The sequence below is a fragment of the Homo sapiens genome, chromosome 11 (genome assembly GCF_000001405.40).
Source record: "Homo sapiens chromosome 11, GRCh38.p14 Primary Assembly".
Lineage (NCBI taxonomy): Eukaryota > Metazoa > Chordata > Mammalia > Primates > Hominidae > Homo > Homo sapiens.
Genome location: NC_000011.10, coordinates 117132022 through 117150837, shown reverse-complemented (window position 1 = coordinate 117150837; position 18816 = coordinate 117132022). Strand labels below are relative to the sequence as shown.

Sequence of the window (18816 nt, the reverse complement as noted above, 5' to 3'; positions counted from 1 at the left end):
TTTTTTGTATTTTTAGTAGAGACGGGGTTTCACCGTGTTAGCCAGGACGGTCTCGATCTCCTGAAGAAAAGGAGGTCATCTTCTATATAAGCAATCTTTTTCTTTCCCTTGCCATCCTCAAATACAGCTAAGCTTTCTCAGAAAGAAGATCGAGTTATATTCATTCAATATACATATTTACTGAGTACACAAAACACACTACATTGCCAAAGCAGTAGTTTTTTAGAATCACCAAGTACCAAGCCCCAAACGTGAAAGCATACCTTCACTCAAGAAAAATAAATTACAGAAGCAAATAATACTAACACTAATTATGCAAACAAATTAGCTCAGTTCTAAATGATACTAGAATATCATCATGATTTCAAAAAAAAAAAACAACATCATCGGCTGGGTGCAGTGGCTCATGCCTGTAATCCTAGCACTTTGGGAAGCCAAAGCAGGTGGATCGCTTGAGGTCAGGAGTTCAAGACCAGCCTGGCCAACATGGTGAAACCCCCGTCTCTACAAAAAATACAAAAATTAGCCGGGCATGGTGGAACACGCCTGTAAGCTGCAGCTACTCAGGAGACTGGGGCAGGAGAATCGCTGGAACCTGGCAGGCGGAAGTTGCAGCAACAGAGCAAGACTTCATCTCAAACAAACAACAACCAAAAAATTATTAATTTAAACAATGTGGGAGGTTTTGCTTTATTTTTAAACCAGTAAAACATTCTATACTTTCTACATAAAAGTTTATTTGGGTCTAAGTTCAATTCTAGGCTTAAATCAAATTAAAACTTACATGTTAGTTAATAAAAATTTTTTGAGACAAGGTCTTTTTTTTGTTTTTGAGGTGAAGTCCTGGCCTGTAGCCAGGACTACAGGCATGCACCGCCACACCCAGCTAACTTTTCTATTTTTCTTTTATACAGACAAGGTTTCTCCATGTTGCCCAGACTGGTCTCGAACTCCTGAGCTCGGCCTAGAATCCTGCCCAGCCTAGGGTATTTTTGAAATGCACCCCACTACCTACACATTTGTATATAAACATGCCAATTACTGTTCATGTGAATCTTAAATTATAGTGAAGCCTATTTTTTCTTTTTATAGATTAGAAAACTTTTGGCCGGGCACGGTGGCTCACACCTGTAATCCCAGCACTTTGGGAGGCCGAGGCAGGCAGATCACGAGGTCAGGAGATCGAGACCATCCTGGCTAACATGGTGAAACCCCGTATCTACTAAAAATACAAAAAAAAAAAATTAGCTGGGCGTGGTGGCGGGCACCTGTAGTCCCAGCTACTTGGGAGGCTGAGGCAGGAGAATGGCGTGAACCTGGGAGGCCGAGCTTGCAGTAAGCCGAGATCGTGCCACTGCACTCCAGCCTGGGGGACAGAGCGAGACTCCATCTCAAAAAAAAAAAAAACGATTAGAAAACTTTTTTTAAATTAAATTCTTTAAAAAGTTAGATTTTAGCCAGGTGTGGCGGCTCACACTTATAATCTCAGCACTTTGGGAGGCCGAGGCAGGAAGATGACTTGAATCCAGGAGTTTGAGACTATCCTGGGCAACATAATGAGACCCCGTCTCTACAAAAAAATTGAAGAAATTAGCCTGGCATGGTAGTGCCTGCAGTCTCAGCTACTCAGCAAGCTGAGTCAGGAGGATTGCTTGGGCTGGGCGCAGTGGCTCACGCCTGTAATCCTAACACTTTGGGAGCCCGAGGCAGGTAGATTACCTGAGGTCAGAAGTTCAAGACCAGCCTGACCAAAAAGGCGAAATCCATCTCTACTAAAAATACAAAAAAAAAAAAAAAAAAAAAATTGGCAGGTGTTGTGGTGCGTGCCTGTAATCCCAGCTACTTGGGAGGCTGAGGGAGGAGAATCGCTCGAGCCCAGGAGGTGGAGGCTGCAGTGAGCTGTGATCATGCTACTGCACTCCCGCCTGAGTGACAGTGAGACCTTGTCTCTAAGTAAATAAATGTTCTGAGATTTTTTTCCTATATTCCAATGGATCATCTTATGCATCCCCAGAGGTGCATACACACACTCTTTCAAGACCAATGATCTATATAAATTATACGATCTCTTTATTATTATAAGAGAAGGGTCTCACTATGTTGTCCAGGCTGGATTCAAACTCCTAGGCTTAAGTGATCCTCCTGCCTCAGCTTCCCAAGTAGCTGGGACTACAGGCACACACTACCACTCCCAGCTTAGAGCTACAATTCAATAAACAGGCATGGATTTTCAGAGTTCATCCAACAGACAAACAACTGATCTAAAATAACATTTATTAAGAACTTACTATTTACCAGACCCTGTGCTAGGAGCTTTGTTATTTAAATAAACATGATGCTCAAAGAGACCTAAGGAAACTTCTCCATGACAGCAGAGCTGGTAAACAACACAGGACAGGTGGGATTTGAAACCAGAGTGACAGACTTCCAAAGCCTACTCTTGAGCAAATGATATTATGTTCTGATTAGAAAAGACTACATAGAGGCCGGGCATGGTGGCTCACACCTGTAATCCCAGCATTTTGGGGGGGCCGAGGCAGGAGGATCACCTGAGGTCAGGAGTTCGAGACCAGCCTGGCCAACATGGTGAAATCCTGTCTCCACTAAAAATACAAAAGATTAGCCAGGTTGGGTGGCACATACTTGTAATCCCAGCTACTCAGGAGGCTGAGGCATGAGAATCTCTTGAACCCAGGAGGTGGAGGTTGCAGTGAGCAGAGATCACACCACTGCACCCCACTCTGGGTGACAGAGCAAGACTCCATCTAAAAAAAAAAAAAAGAAAAAAAAAAGAAAAAAGATAAATTCTAATTCTAATTTACTAAGTTGTTTCACTTATACTTTCTACTACCCAAATTTAATGGCATTCTGATACCCTGAGCAAAACACTTCCATCTCAACCCTAAATTTCTTCATGGGAAAATAAAAAAAGCATACACATAGAGAAACCGAGGAACAAAATGTCACTTATCTGAAGCTACAAGGCAGGAAGAACTGGGAGGTCACAAAATATTCCTAATTACACAGTCTTTTTGTCTATAGCTATGAATACAAGGTGATCCTTCTTCCCCTACAATGGCAAAGTATCTGAGCAGAAATGTGTTTCTTTGTGTCTTCTGACTCTGATTTTGTATTATTTTGTCAATCAAAATCTTATTACAAAGCAGCTTTCAGTTTTACTGATGCCCATGGCTTGGTAACATTTTTAAACACCAGGAAAAGAAAAACTGAGCCACAAACTCACACAATCTCCTCTTTAAGAACAAAGCTGGAAATGCACAACCTAGAAGACTATGCATATAGAGGATTAAAACAATTTGGAAATCAGAGAAACTGTTGTGGCTGGGTACAGTGTCTCATGCCTGTAATCCCAGCACTTTGGGACACTAAGGCAGGTGGACTGCTTGAGCCCAGGAGTTTGAGACCAGCCTGGGTAACATGGTGAAACTGTGTCTCTACAAAAACCACAACAATTAGCTGGGGGTGGTGGTGCGCCACTGCACTCCAGCCTCAGGGACAGAGCAAGACCCTGTCTCAAAAATAAAAATTAAACTGGCTTTTCTTTTTTTGAGACAGAGTTTCGCTCCCGTTGCCCAGACTGGAGTACAACGGCGCGACCTTGGCTCACTGCAACCTCCGCCTCTCGGGTTCAAGCAATTCTCCCGTCTCAGCATCCCGAGTACTGGGATTACAGGTGCCTGCCACCATGCCCAGCTAATTTTTGTATTTTTAGTGAAGACGGGGTTTCATCATATTGGTCAGGGTGGTCTCGAACTCCTGACATCAGGTGATCCGCCCACCTTGGCTTCCCAAAGTGCTGGGATTACAGGCGTGAGCCACCACGCCCGGCCGGCTTTTTTTTTGTTTTTTTTGAGATAGGGCTTCACTCTGATGCCCAGACTGAAGCACAGTGGAGAAATCATGGCTCACTGCAGTTTCCGCCTCCTGCACTCAAGCGATCCTCCCGAATAGCTGCCTGACCTTTTTTTTTTTTTTTTCCAATAGATGGGGATCTCACCATATTGTTCAGGCTGATCTTGAACTCCTAGGCTCAAGTGATCCTGCTGCCTTGGCCTCCCAAAGTGCTGGAATTACAGGAATGAGTCACAGCACCCAGCCGGCTGTGTTTTGTTTTTTGTTTTTTACCCCGACAGGGTCTCAGTCAGTCGTTAGCTGGAGTGAAGTGGCGTAACACAGCTCACTGCAGCCTTGATCTCCTGGGCTCAAGTGATCCTCCCATTTCTTCCTTCCAGAGTAACTGGTACTGCAGGCCCACGCCACCACACATGGCTAATTTTTAAATTTCGTAGAGACGAGGTCTTGCCATGTTGCTCAGGCTCCAGCTGTTGTATTCTTTCCAATTGAAACGAAGAATTATCTGCTCTTATGGACACATAAAATAAGAACGAACTAAGAGCTACCCAGTGGTAAGACGCAAACTTCTGAGTGACTTTGGGTTTCCTGCGCCTGTTATCCCAGCACTTTGGGAGGCCGAGGCGGGTGGATCACTTGAGGTCGGGAGTTCAAGACCTGCCTGGCCAACGTGGCGAAACCCCGTCTCTACTAAAAAAAAAAAATACAAAATTAGCTGGGTGTGGTGGCACATGCCTATAAGCTTGAACCGGGAGGCAGAGGTTGTAGTGAGTAGAGATCGCGCCACTGCACTCCAGCCTGGGCGACAGACTGAGACTCCGTCACACACACAAAAAAAAAAAAAAAAAAAGAAAGAAAGACCAAGCAGAATGCAAATAAAAGGTCTGAAGAACAAGTTTTGTTAATTTGCCACAACAGACTGTACTCCAGGGGAAGCTTTGTTGTCCATTAAAGTGAGTTCTCTGGGAAGACGAGGAGTAACCGACTTGCACGATTTTCCTGCCTTTTCTATATTCTCTACTTACTATGACAATACAGCACTAGAATTTCCAAGTGCTTATACCAGCATAGTGCAATGTATTTAATGAGAAACCACGTCCAACAACAAAGCGTTATAACTTCTCCAGCTGAGTTAGATGTTTTAGTCTGAACCAGGAAAACAGATGAAGAAAGTTGAACCAAGAATTAAAAGATTTAGAGTTTCCACTCAGACCTAAGACTCTCCACTTTGTTTCAGAGGGAGTGGGTATGGTTATTCTGAAGAAGAAGGCGGCCCTTATCCTGAATGCCCGGTAGCCTCCGTGGGCTGGTGGGTGGTTCCTCCGGTCCAGCACCTCCATAATTTATGATCAAATGCCCAAGCCAACAAACTAATCCTCCCCTTCTCCCCCACAAGGAGGCAACCTTTATGTCAGAACAATGTGCCCAGAAGAAGCCAAAGACACAAGGCACATCCAAGGCAAAGACAATCTTAATTAAGCACTTTCTCCTTCCACTTTCTCCACACCTTTACCCCCGGCCCAACCCCTTCCCATAATTTCAAGCTGTACAAAATGAGGTCCTAGGGTGGATCCGGGTGGTCTTTCCTTTCTCTACGGGTAAGCTCTACAAAGAGGCGAAAGCTCCGAGTGTTAGTTCTTGTTTGTGTATAAATTCTGAAAAGCAACGCTGGCCTGCGAGCTATGAAAAGCAGAAGCATGAGTCACCACGCAACGGGTCAATCAAACCTGTAGACCAGAAGGCACGGATCTGGCAAACGGACGGTGAGCCAGGAAAAAAACATCCCCCCAAACCTCTCCGCTGACAGGTTTATCTAGCTGGCTGACCTTGGGCAGGTCACCAGCCGCTCCGAGCACATTCATGTCTAAGATGAGATGGGGGCTGGAAAGCCTTCCAAGAAATAATCCCTTCCGAGTGGTGACGGTCTATGCAACTTTTGAATAAACACATCCTAAGAGGCAACGGAGAAGTTTCTAAAGAGTTGAAATTTTTCAACAAAAGGAGGAGGGAAAAGTGCTCGGTAAAAACACAACGGAGTAACTGGTTTTGGCCTCCGACCAGACGCGAGGGGAGAGAAGAGTGAGAAGTTAGACCCCTGTGATAAAGGGAAAAGGCAGCAGCGGAGACCCGGGCAGGAGCTGCAGCGCCCAGCCGGGGCGAGCTGGGGTGCGCAAGGCCTACCGCGGGTGGGCCCGGCAGGGCAGGGCAGGGCAGGGCGGGGCGGGGCGCCCGCCGCGCTACCCTCCTGGGAAAGGCCGTGGAGGCGCCGGCCGGCGGCTGAGGAGAAACGCCAGCTTTCGGTATGGAATATCGGGAAAGGGCTCTCAGAGCGAAAACTAGCTGCGCCGGCTGCTGGGAAGCCGACGCTGGGCCCGCAGAGAAGGCGCGCGCTCGCGAGGCCCCCCCCAAGTGGATGGGGCGGCGTGGGGGGAGGGGCCGCAAGGGTGGGGGAGGGGAGGTCGCGGGCCTCTCACAATAACACCTCGCAGCCCCTTCCGACCCCCGCCTCTAAGCCACCGGTTCCCTGCGACCCTGGATGCACTCACTGAAGTAGAGGGTCCGTGCGGGCCCCAAGCGGCTGAGGCGTCGGCGGGTGGCGCGTCGGTCGCTCGCTCGGTCCCGTCGGTCCCGCTCCGGCGCGTCCCTCCTCCGGCCCCAGCACCAGCAGCAGCTCCTCCACTTCCGGTTCCCCTGCCACTCAGCCAAATGGCTTCCGGAAGTCCCGCCCCCATCCTGCCACGCCTCAGCGTGGTTCCTCTCTCCCCGCCTTCGCTCTCCCGGGCGCTGGCGGCGTGCGCCCAGGTGTCCCGCCACACCCCGTTGGGTACCCTGCTTTGTTCTCGCGGTTACCCCCATTTTGTGTGGCGTCTGAGGGACATGGGCTTCTCTCTTTACTCCAGCTGCATCTCTCAATCCTGCGTTCGTGCCACCGCAGTGTGGAGCTGGCATTCGGGACGATGTGGCGTGAAGTCACACTGACGCCATTCCCTTCACACTCAGCCAACTTGGCTTCCTCTTCCACCCATGGAATAAACCAGACTGCTGAAAGTGGGAGGGAAATAGCGGACCAAGGTTAAGGAGGCAGTACCTGACATTTATTAGTGGAATTTCTGTTTCTATGATGAATGTGGAGATTTTGGGTGACCGCCTGTAAAGGTGATACATAGGGGGATGACGAACCCCAGGCTTTTCCTTAAAAGATACATCCAGTTTAGGGGAAGACATACATATACAAAGTCAATATTGAAAAGATTATATGCTAAATAAATGCAGGATCTATAAAAGTAGAGAGGAGGGGCAAGAGATGTGCTCAAGCTTATAGCAGCGCAACGGTTGCTGGAGCAGTGCCCTGAACTGGCCCTTTAAGGATCTCAGCTCTATGCTGGTGAATAGGCAGAGCCTTCCAGGGCTCTTAAACTGATGCGGGGGTGGGGGTTGATTTTGCTGACAAAACCTGTTAAGAATACTGTAAAATCCTGGGAGCCTAAAATGTCAAGATATGTCAAGTAATTTTTCTTTTTTTTTTTTTTTTTTATTCAAGTTCTAGGGTACATGTGCACAACGTGCAGGTTTGTTACATAGGTATACGTGTGCCATGTTGGTTTGCTGCACCCATCAACTCGTCATTTACATTCCGTATTTCTCCTAATGCTATCCCTCCCCCAGCCCCGCAGTCCCCGACAGGCCCCCGTGTGTGATGTTCCCCGCCCTTTGTCCAAGTGTTCTCAGTGTTCAATTCCCACCTATGAGAACATGCGGTGTTTGGTTTTCTGTCCTTGTGATAGTTTGCTGAGAATGATGGTTTCCAGTTTCGTCCATGTCCCTGCAAAGGATATGAACTCATCCTTTTTACAGCTGCATAGTATTTCGTGGTGTATATGTGCCACATTTTCTTAATCCAGTCTATCATTGATGGACATTTGGGTTGGTTCCAAGTCTTTGCTATTGTGAATAGTGCCACAATAAACATACGTGTGCATGTATCTTTATAGCAGCATGATTTATAATCCTTTGGGTATATACCCAGTAATGGGATGGCTGGGTCAAATGGTATTTCTAGTTCTAGATCCTTGAGGAATCGCCACACTGTCTTTCACAATGGTTGAATTAATTTACACTCCCTCCAACAGTGTAAAAGTGTTCCTCTTTCTCCACATCCTCTCCAGCATCTGTTGTTTCCTGACTTTTTAATGATCGCCATTCTAACTGGCATGAGATGGTATCTCATTGTGGTTTTGATTTGCATTTCTCTGATGACCAGTGATGATGAGCATTTTTTCATGTGTCTGTTGGTTGCATAAATGTCTTCTTTTGAGAAGTGTCTGTTCATATCCTTTGCCCACTTTTTGATGGGGTTGTTTGTTTTTTTTCTTGTAAATTTGTTTAAGTTCTTTGTAGATTCTGGATATTAGCCCTTTGTCAGATGGGTAGATTGCAAAAATTTTCTCCCATTCTGTAGGTTGCCTGTTCGCTCTGATGGTAGTTTCTTTTGCCATGCAGAAGCTCTTTAGTTTAATTATATCCCATTTGTCTATTCTGGCTTTTGTTGCCATTGCTTGTGGTGTTTTAGTCAGGAAGTCTTTGCCCATGCCTATGTCCTGAATGGTATTGCCTATGTTTTCTTCTAGGGTTTTTATGGTTTTAGGTCTAACATTTAAGTCTTTACTCCATCTTGAATTAATTTTTGTATAAGGTGTAAGGAAGGGATCCAGTTTCAGCTTTCTACATATGGCTAGCCAGTTTTCCTGGCACCATTTATTAAATAGGGAATCCTTTCCCCATTTCTTGTTTTTGTCAATTTGTCAAAGAGCAGATGGTTGTAGATGTGTGGTGTTATTTCTGAGGCCTCTGTTCTGTTCTGTTGGTCTATATATCTGTTTTGGTGCTAGTACCATGCCGTTTTGGTTACTGTAGCCTTGTAGTATAGTTTGAAGTCAGGTAGCGTGGTGCCTCCAGCTTTGTTCTTTTTGCTTAGGATTGTCTTGGCAATGCGGGCTCTTTTTTGGTTCCATATGAAGTTTAAAGTAGTTTTTTCCAATTCTGTGAAGAAAGTCTTTGGTAGCTTGATGGGGATGGCATTGAATCTATAAATTACCTTGGGCAGTATGGCCATTTTCACAATACTGATTCTTCCTATCCATGAGCATGGAATGTTCTTCCATTTGTTTGTGTCCTCTTTTATTTCACTGAGCAGTGGTTTGTAGTTCTCCTTGACGAGGTCCTTCACATCCCTTGTAAGTTGGATTCCTAGGTATTTTATTCTCTTTGTAGCAATTGTGAATGGGAGTTCACTCATGATTTGGCTCTCTGTTATTGTCTGTTATTGGTGTATAGGAGTGCTTGTGATTTTTGCACATTGATTTTGTATCCTGAGACTTTGCTGAAGTTGCTTATCAGCTTAAGGAGATCTTGGGCTGAGACAATGGGGTTTTCTAAATATACAATCATGTCATCTGCAAACAGGGAAAATTTGACTTCCTCTTTTCCTAATTGAATACCCTTTATTTCTTTCTCTTGCCTGATTGCCCTGGCCAGAACCTCCAACACTATGTTGAATAGGAGTGGTGAGAGAGGGCATCCTTGTCTTGTGCTGGTTTTCAAAGGGAATGCTTCCCGTTTTTGCCCATTCAGTATGATATTGGCTGTGGGTTTGTCATAAATAGCTCTTACTATTTTGAGATACGTTCCATCAATACCTAGTTTATTGCGAGCTTTTAGCATGAAGGGCTGCTGAATTTTGTCGAAGGCCTTTTCTGCATTGATATAATCATGTGGTTTTTGTCATTGGTTTTGTTTATGTGATGGATTACGTTTATCAATTTGTGTATGTTGAACCAGCCTTGCATCCCAGGGATGAACCCAACTTGATTGTGGTGGATAAGCTTTTTGATGTGCCACTGGATTCGGTTTGCCAGTATTTTATTGAGAATTTTCACATCAATGTTCATCAGGCGTATTGGCCTAAAATTCTCTTTTTTGTTATGTCTCTGCCGGGCATTAGTATCAGGATGATGCTGGCCTCATAAAATGAGTTAGGGAGTCTCTTTTTTTCTATTGATTGGAATAGTTTCAGAAGGAATGGTACCAGCTCCTCTTTGTAGCTCTAATAGAATTCGGCTGTGAATCTGTCTGGTCCTGGATTTTTTTTTGGTTGGTAGGCTATTAATTATTGTCTCAATTTCAGAGCCTGTTATTGGTCTATTCAGAGATTCAACTTCTTCCTGGTTTAGTCTTGGGAAGGTGTATGTGTCCAGGAATTTATCCATTTCTTCTAGATTTTCTAGTTTATTTGCGTAGAGGTGTTTATATCATTCTCTGGCGGTAGTTTGTATTTTTGTGGGATTGGTGGTGATATCCCCTTTATCATCTTTTATTGCATCTATTTGATTATTCTCTCTTTTCTTCTTTATTAGTCTTGCCAGCGGTCTATCAATTTTGTTGATCTTTTCAAAACACCAGCTCCTGGATTCATTGATTTTTTGAAGGGTTTTTTGTGTCTCTATCTCCTTCAGTTCTGCTCTGATCTTAGTTATTTCTTGCCTTCTGCTAGCTTTTGAATGTATTTGCTCTTGCTTCTCTAGTTCTTTTAATTGTGATGTTAGGGTGTTGATTTTAGATCTTTCCTGCCTTCTCTTGTGGGCATTTAGTGCTGTAAATTTCCCTCTATGCACTGCTTTAAATATGTCCCAGAGATTCTGGTACGTTGTGTCTTTGTTCTCATTGCTTTCAAAGAACATCATTATTTCTGCCTTCATTTTATTATTTACCCAGTAGTCATTCAGGAGCAGGTTGTTCAGTTTCCATGTAATTGTGCGGTTTTGAGTGAGTTTCTTAATCCTGAGTTCTAATTTGATTGCACTGTGGTCTGAGAGACAGTTTGTTGTGATTTATGTTATTTTACATTTGCTGAAGAGTGCTTTACTTCCAATTATGTGGTCCATTTTAGAATAAGTGTGATGTGGTGCTGAGAAGAGTGTATATTCTGTTGATTTGGGGTGGAGAGTTCTGTAGATGTCTATTAGGTCTGCTTGGTGCAGAGCTGAGTTCAAGTCCTGGATATCCTTGTTAACCTTCTGTCTTGTTGATCTGTTTAATATTGTATGTCAAGTAATTTTTCAAGTAACTTGTGCTGTCAAGTGGCACTAAGTGTGTATTACTTTAGGCATATATAATCCAAGATAATTTTGTCCTCATATAAAATGATGTTTACATTGCGAATTTACCTTGGAATTCTCTTGGAGCTGCTCACACAGTATACGGCATACCTGTAGGTGCTCAGTAAATATTTGTTGTTCTGAGGGTTTTCTTAGAAAGAATTCACGTTTAGAGAACTCAAATGATGGTATTAAAGAGGCAGCCCAGCCAGGAGCGGTGGCTCACACCTGTAATCCCAGCACTTTGGGAGGCCAAGGCTGGCGGATCACCTGAGGTCCAGAGTTTGAGACCAGCCTGACCAACATGGAGAAACTACGTCTGTTCTAAAAATACAACATTAGCTGGGCGTGGTGGCACATGCCTGTAATCCCAGCTACTTCGGAGGTTGAGGCAGGAGAATCGTTTGAACCTGGAAGGCAAAAGTTGCAGTGAGCCGAGATCCACCATTGCTCTCCAGCCTAAGCAAGAAGAGCGAAACTTCACCTCAAAAAAAAAGAGGCGCCCGGGCGCAGTGGCTCACGCAAGTAATTCCAGCACTTTGGGAGGCCAAGGTGGGCAGATCAAGAGGTCAGATCAAGAGGAGATTGAGACTGTCCTGGCTAACACGGTGAAACCCCGTCTCTACTAAAAAATACAAAAAATTAGCCAGGCGTTGTGGCGGGTGCCTGTAGTCCCAGCTACTCTGGAGGCTGAGGCAGGAGAATGGCACGAACCCGGGAGGCGGAGCTTGCAGTAAGCCGAGATCACGCCACTGCACTCCAGCCTGGGCGACAGAGTGAGACTCCATCTCAAAAAAAAAAAAAAAAATGACACAGAACACAAAAGCTTGCCCAAGATCACGCCACTGCACTCCAGCCTGGGGGACAGATCGAGACTATGTCTCAAAAAAAAAAAAAAAAAAAAAGAGAGGCAGCCCATTTCCAGGCGGATAGTGTTAAGGGGAAAAAAAAAGAGGATGGAGGCCAACCCAAAGGGGGCGCCAATCCCCTGTCCAACACCTTCTCACCAAAAGCTCCCGTTTGGCTGGAGGCAGACCCTGTGGCTCTGACCAGACTTCTCTGGCAGCAATCCTCCGCCATTTGTATCTTAAGAAGGCCCTCACCCTCTTTGAGTGGAGTCAGAGGATGCCTCAGATTCCAGATGTAAGCATCAGAACTGCTTTCTGTCAAGAGCTCCCTAATTTTGGGAAAGAAGAGCCTGTCCCACACTGTCAGGCCCTGAGGTCAGCAGATCTGCTCCTCCTTCCCGTGCGGTACGTCTAGGTGCTGATGAGGGCAGTCCAGGGCGCTCTTGTTCTGGGACAGGCTCCAGTCCCCTTGCTCCAGCAGGTCTGGGGCAAGGAGGTCAGAGGTGGTGGGAGGGCCCCTGCTCTCTGTTTCCACTTCGTCTGGATCCTTGCTGCTGCAAAGTGGCACTGATTCTAGCTCTGTCCCTTCCTCCTTGGCTTTCTGGCTTCGATAGGGCCAGTGGCAGGGTCCACTCATACAAACTTGATTGGAAGCCACATTCCTCTGGTTCACATATACTTCCAGCATGTAGTAAACGGTCCAGAAGACGGTGAAACAGCCTACCAGCACCAAGGTCTGGGGCCGAGGCAAGCACCTACGTGAGGCACTGTTTCCCGAAGCCTACAGCCTTTCTCAGTCCAGGACAATGAGCTCAGAAAGTCTTTTTCCTTCTAGGGACTGCCTTTTTCACCCAAACTGTTCCCTCTGCCCCCTCCCCCGACAAGGCCTGTCCTGTAAGAGTTAGGCTAGCAGGGTAGGAGCAATGCTATGAAACCACTGCTGGGACCCAGGTCTTCCCAGTCCTTCACCCCGCAGGTCACCCTGAGAAACACACTAAGAACTCCATCCCCCAGACAGGACAGTCCCATCTACCCGCAGCTTGAGTCTTGGCCCTAGTACCTTGAGGGTGTTGGGGGTGATGGTGTAACCATCTTCCTCAGGAATTTTCAGCCCCGGTGGGCAGGGCAGGGCGAAGTCATCGTGCAGGTATTTTCCACTCATGGCACTCTCTAACAGCCTGTGGAGAAGAAAAGAGGTGAGGATGCCCCACTGACTATGGTTCCTATACCATCTGCCCTCACCCATTTTCCTGCCTTACAGGTGAAGACAGGGAAGCCCCACAGCAAAAAGGAGAGGCCCAGACTGTGAGTTCCCAGCCCGGGGCTCCATCTACCAGCTTGACGCTGGAACTGGGAAGCACAGCTGGGGTTCAGAGGGCGATGGGCTCCCTAGGCAGCCCTTCCCCTGTGACTGGCCTTCCCTCTGACACATGCGGCTTTACCCACCTTTGTCTGTCCCTGATGTCTACTGCACTCCACACAGAGCCATATAGGGTCAGCTGCCATTGCCGGAGGATGCCGACCTGGAATGACTCATCCCCTAGGGCAGCAAGGGGCAGCTCGTGAGCCACGCCCCTCTGTCAGCCATGCCAGACAGCAGAGGCCCTGCCCGCCCTGCCACCCAAAGGGGCTCAGGCCACATGGTCTGCTCCAGGAGCTGCCTCACTGTGTCCCACTGACCCCAGGTTCTGCAGAAGGGCCTCACTGGGTGCCCTTAGGGATGGAAAGGGTTGAAAGGCTGTACTCCAAAGCAGAGTCTTGCTTTTCTCTCCCGTATTTTGGGGGTTCAGCTGGGATTAGAAAAAAATGTCTTTCCACCAAATTAAAGAAAGCTTTGAAAACCACTGGCCTAGAGAATACCTAACTGACTGGAGGATGGGAGGGTGGAGCTCAATTTCCAGTCTATAGGCTGATACTAAAGATATTCACAATTCATGGATATTGTGGCCTTCACTGATATGGTGACCTTCCACAAGTCACCTCAAACCTCTGGGCCAGTTTAAAAAAAATGGTGAAATGAGTCCTGCCCTTACCTGCCTACCGGGGCTTGCCGAAGGATGGTTATACGTAAAAGGACTTGAAATGTGGTTTCGACAAGGACTTTTTGTTGCTATCCTGAGGAAAGATGGATGGGTCACTCCTCCAGGGAATATGAGAGGTAGTATAAATGAACAGTTTCAGAGAGCAATGCCCATTTCACGGATGGGCACACTCTTGGCATCAACTCTCTTGGTCCAATGGCAACCCTATATATTGCACACGGGACACTTTCTGTGGGGACTCTGAGATGCAGAGGGACCAGATAACAAGCAGGAAAGGTAGGGCCTGGTGTGAGGGCACGAGACTCACCGACATCCCTGATGACAAGCCTGTAGGTCCCTCGGGCTCTCTCCCCCCAGCATCGCACAGTGGAGAAGGTCCAGTCATTGAAGCCGTTGGGATCCCTGAGGAAAGAACACAGCAGAAACAGGTGGAAGGCGTGGGCCAGAGAGCTGACCTTCCCCCAGCAACACTTTCTTACTGTAGTAGCCGTGGAAACAACCTGGGAGGGTGCCACGAGGGCTTCTCAGGTGCCCCTTTCCCCTGGGGTCTCATGGAAGGAGGAAATTGTGTTAACGTGGTGTGGTGGAAAAAGCAAGCATGGAGCGCGCACAGGCTTGGAGTCCCACGGATCTAGGTTTATTCTTGTTCTCTTGGGCACTTACTAGCTCCATGACTTGTTTTCTTTTTCTTTCTTTTTTTTTTTGGAGACAGGGTCTCACTCTGTTATCCAAGCTGGAGTGCAGTGGCATGATCACAGCTCACTGCAGCCTTGACTTCCTGGGTTCAAGTGATCCTCCCACCTCAGTCTCCTGAGTAGCTGGGACTACAGGCATGTACCACCATGCTCGGCTAATCTTTAAATTTTTTGTAGAGACAGGGTCTCACTTTGTTGCCCAGGCTGGTCTTGAACTCCTGAGTTCAAGTGATTCTCCTGCCTTGACCTCCCAAAGTGCTGGGATTACAGGTGTGAGCCACCACACCCAGCCAGTTTCCTCATTTGTAAAAGGAGGTTACAAAGTCTAATCTAGGGGGTTCTTAGAAGGATTAGAGAACATGTATGTGAGGTGCAGGGCCTAGCGCTTGAAGAAGGTATGTGACGAAAGGCTTCCAGCCGCCAGGGATAGCCAGTGCCACAGTAGTTTAGGACAGTGCCAGGATCCACTTCTTCCATTTCTTTTCCCTGGAAAGGCCCTTGCTGAAAAGGTTGCTCAGGCCTCGGGCAGGTGTACATACGAGTCCATGCTGCCGGGGGTGCCGATGAGGGACATCATGCCTCTGGGGCAGAACAGCTTCAGCTCCAAGCTGCCGCGCCGTGGGTGAGTGATGGAGACTGTCACTGCCACATGCTCCAGGGTCTTCAGCCCTGACATCTCCAGGTCCATCCTGCTGACTGTAGAAAGTCAGGCTGGGCAGCTGGGAAACCAGCCCACAAACACGCCTTCACTTCACCCCCACGTACACAAAGACACACGCTCACTGAAGCCACATACAAACATCTACGGCAACCCTAACTGGGACCTCGCCTATACTAGTAAATGGAATGGAGCTGCTGCTCTCAAGTTTACAACGTAGCTTCGAGTGCAGTTGGGAAGACGACACATACCCAAGACACAATATAAGAATCCAGCAGAGCAACTTCAATCATTCATTCATCCAAAACATTATTTACTGGGTACCTCCTCCATTTCAGGCACTGTACTAGATGCTGGGAATATAAAGATAAGATGGGCGTGGTCCCTGTCTCCTACCTGCAAGTGGAAAATGATATGGTATGGGAAATATACATAATTGATAAGGGAAGAGAAATAAGTCAGATGGGTTTAGGCACACAGCAGTGAGACACACTGAAGGAAATGAATACAGATTGGTAGAGAGGGTTGGTAGAGGGCATTCTAGGCAGTGGAAAAGGCATGAACAAAGACAAAATGCACACATCTCACTGAAGATGATGCACAATTAATTTTTTTTTAATGCTGGTGGATAAATTTCAAGCAAATTATGTGAGTGAAAAAAGCAATCTCAAAAGAAGCATATAGCCAGGCGAGATGGTGTGCACCTGTGGTCCCAGGTACCCAGGAGGGTGAGGTGGGAGGATTGCTTGTGCCTGGGAGGTGGAGATTGCAGTGAGCCATGCTCATGCCTCTACACTCCAGCCTGGGTGACAGAACAAGACTCTGTCTCAAAAAAAAAAAAGAAAGAAAGAAAAAGAAAAAGAATGTATAGTGCACAATTCCATTTACATGACGTTCATTGAAATAACATACCTGCAGAGATGCATAAAAGATAAATGGGTGCCAAGGGCCAGGGACACAGGGAGGGGATGGGTGTGGCCAGACAGGGGTAACACAAAGGAGTCTTGTGATAATGGAATTGTTCTGGATCTTGGTTGTGGTGGTCGTTATGCAAGGCTACATGTGGTACAATTGCATACAGCTACACACACGCAAACAAAAATATTGACAGCATGTATATCTGGTGAACTCTGAATAAGCTCTATGGATTGGACCAATGTCAATTTCTTGTTTTTTATATTATACTTTAATTGTGTGAAACATTAAGATTGGGAGAAGGGTGCATGGGACTTCCCTTGTACATTTCTTTGCAATGTCCTGTAAATCTACAATTATTAAAAAAAAAAATACTGAAGTGGAAGACTCAACTGGGGACTACTAAGAAATTAGGTTGCAATGAGAACAATTCTTTTTAAAGCACCCTTTCTTCCATTAATTTATTCCAGTCCAGGCATGGTGGCTCACTCCTGTAATCCCAGCACTTTGGGAGGCTGAGGCAGGAGGATAACTTCAGCCTGGGAGACATCATCTTTACAAAAAATTTAAAAATTAGCTGGATATAGTGGTAAGTACCTGTGGTCCCAGCTACTCAGGAGGTTGAGGGTTGGAGGATGGTTTGATCCCAGGAAGTTGAGGCTGCAGTGAACCATGATTGTGCCTCTGCACTCTAGCCTGGGCAACAGAGTGAAATCCTGTCTCAAAAAAAAAAATTATTCCAGTATACAAGGCAGAGTACAATATGTTCATTTTACAGATGCAGCAGCTCAGAGAGGTACTGAAAGTAGGAGCTGGGTAACCCAGGATGGGATGGGAAGGGCTTTAAAGATTTTTATTTTAAATAAGCAGCTGAGACCTATTATAGATGACTGAGCAAGGACAGAGTTGTTTTTTTTTTTTTTTTTGGTTGCTCTTTTTTTTTTTTTCTTTTTTTTTGATACAGAGTCTAGCTCTGTCACCCAGGCTGGAGTGCAGTGGTGCGATCTCGGCCCACTGCGACCTCTGTCTCCTGGGTTCAAGCAATTCTCCTGCCTCAGCCTCCTGAGTAGCTGGGATTACAGGTGCCTGCCACCACACCCAGCTAATTTTTGCATTTTTAGTAGAGACGGGGTTTCACTGTGTTGGCCAGGCTGGTCTTCAACTCTACCCTTGTGATCCGCAGCCACCCCTCGGCCTCCCAAAGTGCTGAGATTACATGCTGGAGCCATGCAACCAGCCAGGACAGAGTTTTTTTTTAAAAGTGCTGAAAGGGCCAGGAGCCGTGGCTCACGCCTGTAATCCCAGCACTTTGGGAGGCTGAGGCGGGCAGATCACGAGGTCAGGCGATCGAGACCATCCTGGTTAACACGGTGAAACCCCGTCTCTCCTAAAAATACAAAAAAATTAGCCGGGCGTGGTGGCGGGTGCCTGTAGTCCCAGCTACTCGGGAGGCTGAGGCAGGAGAATGGTGTGAACCCAGGAGGCGGAGCTTGCAGTGAGCCAAGGTCGCGCCACTGCACTCCAGCCTGGGCGACAGAACGAGACTCCGTCTCAAAAAAAAAAAAAAAAAGTGCTGAAAGAAGGCTACTCTAACAGCTGTGGGTAGGATGAACTAGAGACAGGAAGAGACAGGTGACAGAAGACCAGCTAAGATGCCACCGCCTCCTTCTAGGGAGGTGGCTTGTGTGTGGGTAACAGAGACTGAGGAGGAGGAAAGGAAAGGCTCCAGGCTTTCTATGACACCACTTTCTGTCCTCCCTAGTCCCTGTCCTTACTGACCTTCTGCTCAGTCCCCTCTCACTGCACTCACTGAAGAGTGCCACCTCCCATTATCCACCACCACACCATTGTCAGAACTTCACAGTGCTTTACCTCCTTAACTCTAGACCTTTCTCCACGCTATGCCGGCTACCCACATCCTGGCCATACTCTGGACTTGTCTTTATTGGGGGTTGCTTTGCTTTTGAATGGTTTAGTTACATTCCTTGTGGGTTTTCTTATTAGATAAACAATACAAATTAACTGAAGGTAAACTGGAAAAGCAGATGAATGAAAATGAAAACAAAAAAGCACCCAGATGTTATGTTGTTCCATAACACGTTGGTAAATATCCACCCAGACCCTTTCTGTGTTTGTGTGGATGTGTGCATCTGTACATTTTCTTTTTCTTTTTTTTTTGGGACAGAATTTTACTCTTGTTACACAGGCTGGAGTGCAGTGGTGCGATCTTGGCTCACCGCAACCTCCGCCTCCTGGGTTCAAGCGATTCTCCTGCCTCAGCCTCCTGAGTAGCGGGGATTATAGGCGCGTGCCACCGCGCCTGACTGATTTTTGTATTTTTAGAAGAGATGGGTTTTCACCATGTTGGCCAGGCTGGTCTCGAACTCCTGACCTCATGTGATCCACCCCCCTCGGCCTCCCAAAGTGCTGGGATTACAGGCGTGAGCCACCACGTCCAGCCAAGAAAATTTTCTTGAGATCTTTGAGAACTTCTCATTTTTGAGAACCCCACTATACCACGTAATTTTCCAATGAAACGTGCCTGAATATTTTAAGTCATCACTTCAGATATGTAATAAGTGTAAAAGTGTGCTTCAGAAAGAGTAAAGAATTAATTCCATGCCAGGCCAA

At 46.6% G+C, this 18816-nt stretch overlaps 1 protein-coding gene and 1 pseudogene across 13 annotated transcripts in view, besides 3 other annotated features; both read right to left on the bottom strand.

Moving 5' to 3' along the window:
- The window catches only part of PAFAH1B2 (platelet activating factor acetylhydrolase 1b catalytic subunit 2), a 33887-nt gene extending 27336 nt beyond the window's left edge, over nucleotides 1-6551 (bottom strand). For 11 of the 13 annotated variants that reach the window (NR_110269.2, NR_110268.2, NR_110282.2 and 8 more), the window contains exon 1: nucleotides 6420-6551. Coding sequence is in view for 2 of the 13 variants with exons in the window: in XM_017017840.2 (XP_016873329.1) it covers nucleotides 5700-5731 (32 nt within the window). In the remaining 11 variants the exon portion in view is untranslated. Of the gene's footprint in view, nucleotides 1-5699; nucleotides 6259-6419 lie in introns of those variants that run through there. The other 2 variants (XM_017017840.2, XM_047427044.1) reach the window with 1 other exon arrangement.
- Nucleotides 5292-5471: an enhancer, noted in NCBI's record as "active region_5565". NCBI's record gives its function as "activates an Ori minimal core promoter by ATAC-STARR-seq in GM12878 lymphoblastoid cells {active_cell/tissue: GM12878}" and the evidence as "EXISTENCE:reporter gene assay evidence [ECO:0000049][PMID:35858748]".
- Nucleotides 6022-6341: a silencer, noted in NCBI's record as "silent region_3931". NCBI's record gives its function as "represses an Ori minimal core promoter by ATAC-STARR-seq in GM12878 lymphoblastoid cells {active_cell/tissue: GM12878}" and the evidence as "EXISTENCE:reporter gene assay evidence [ECO:0000049][PMID:35858748]".
- LOC653303 (proprotein convertase subtilisin/kexin type 7 pseudogene) lies at nucleotides 11971-15309 on the bottom strand (annotated as a pseudogene).
- Nucleotides 12224-13109: an enhancer, noted in NCBI's record as "H3K27ac-H3K4me1 hESC enhancer chr11:117008445-117009330 (GRCh37/hg19 assembly coordinates)". NCBI's record gives its function as "activates a minimal SCP1, AML or CMV promoter by ChIP-STARR-seq in primed H9 embryonic stem cells {active_cell/tissue: H9 hESC(primed)}" and the evidence as "EXISTENCE:reporter gene assay evidence [ECO:0000049][PMID:30033119]".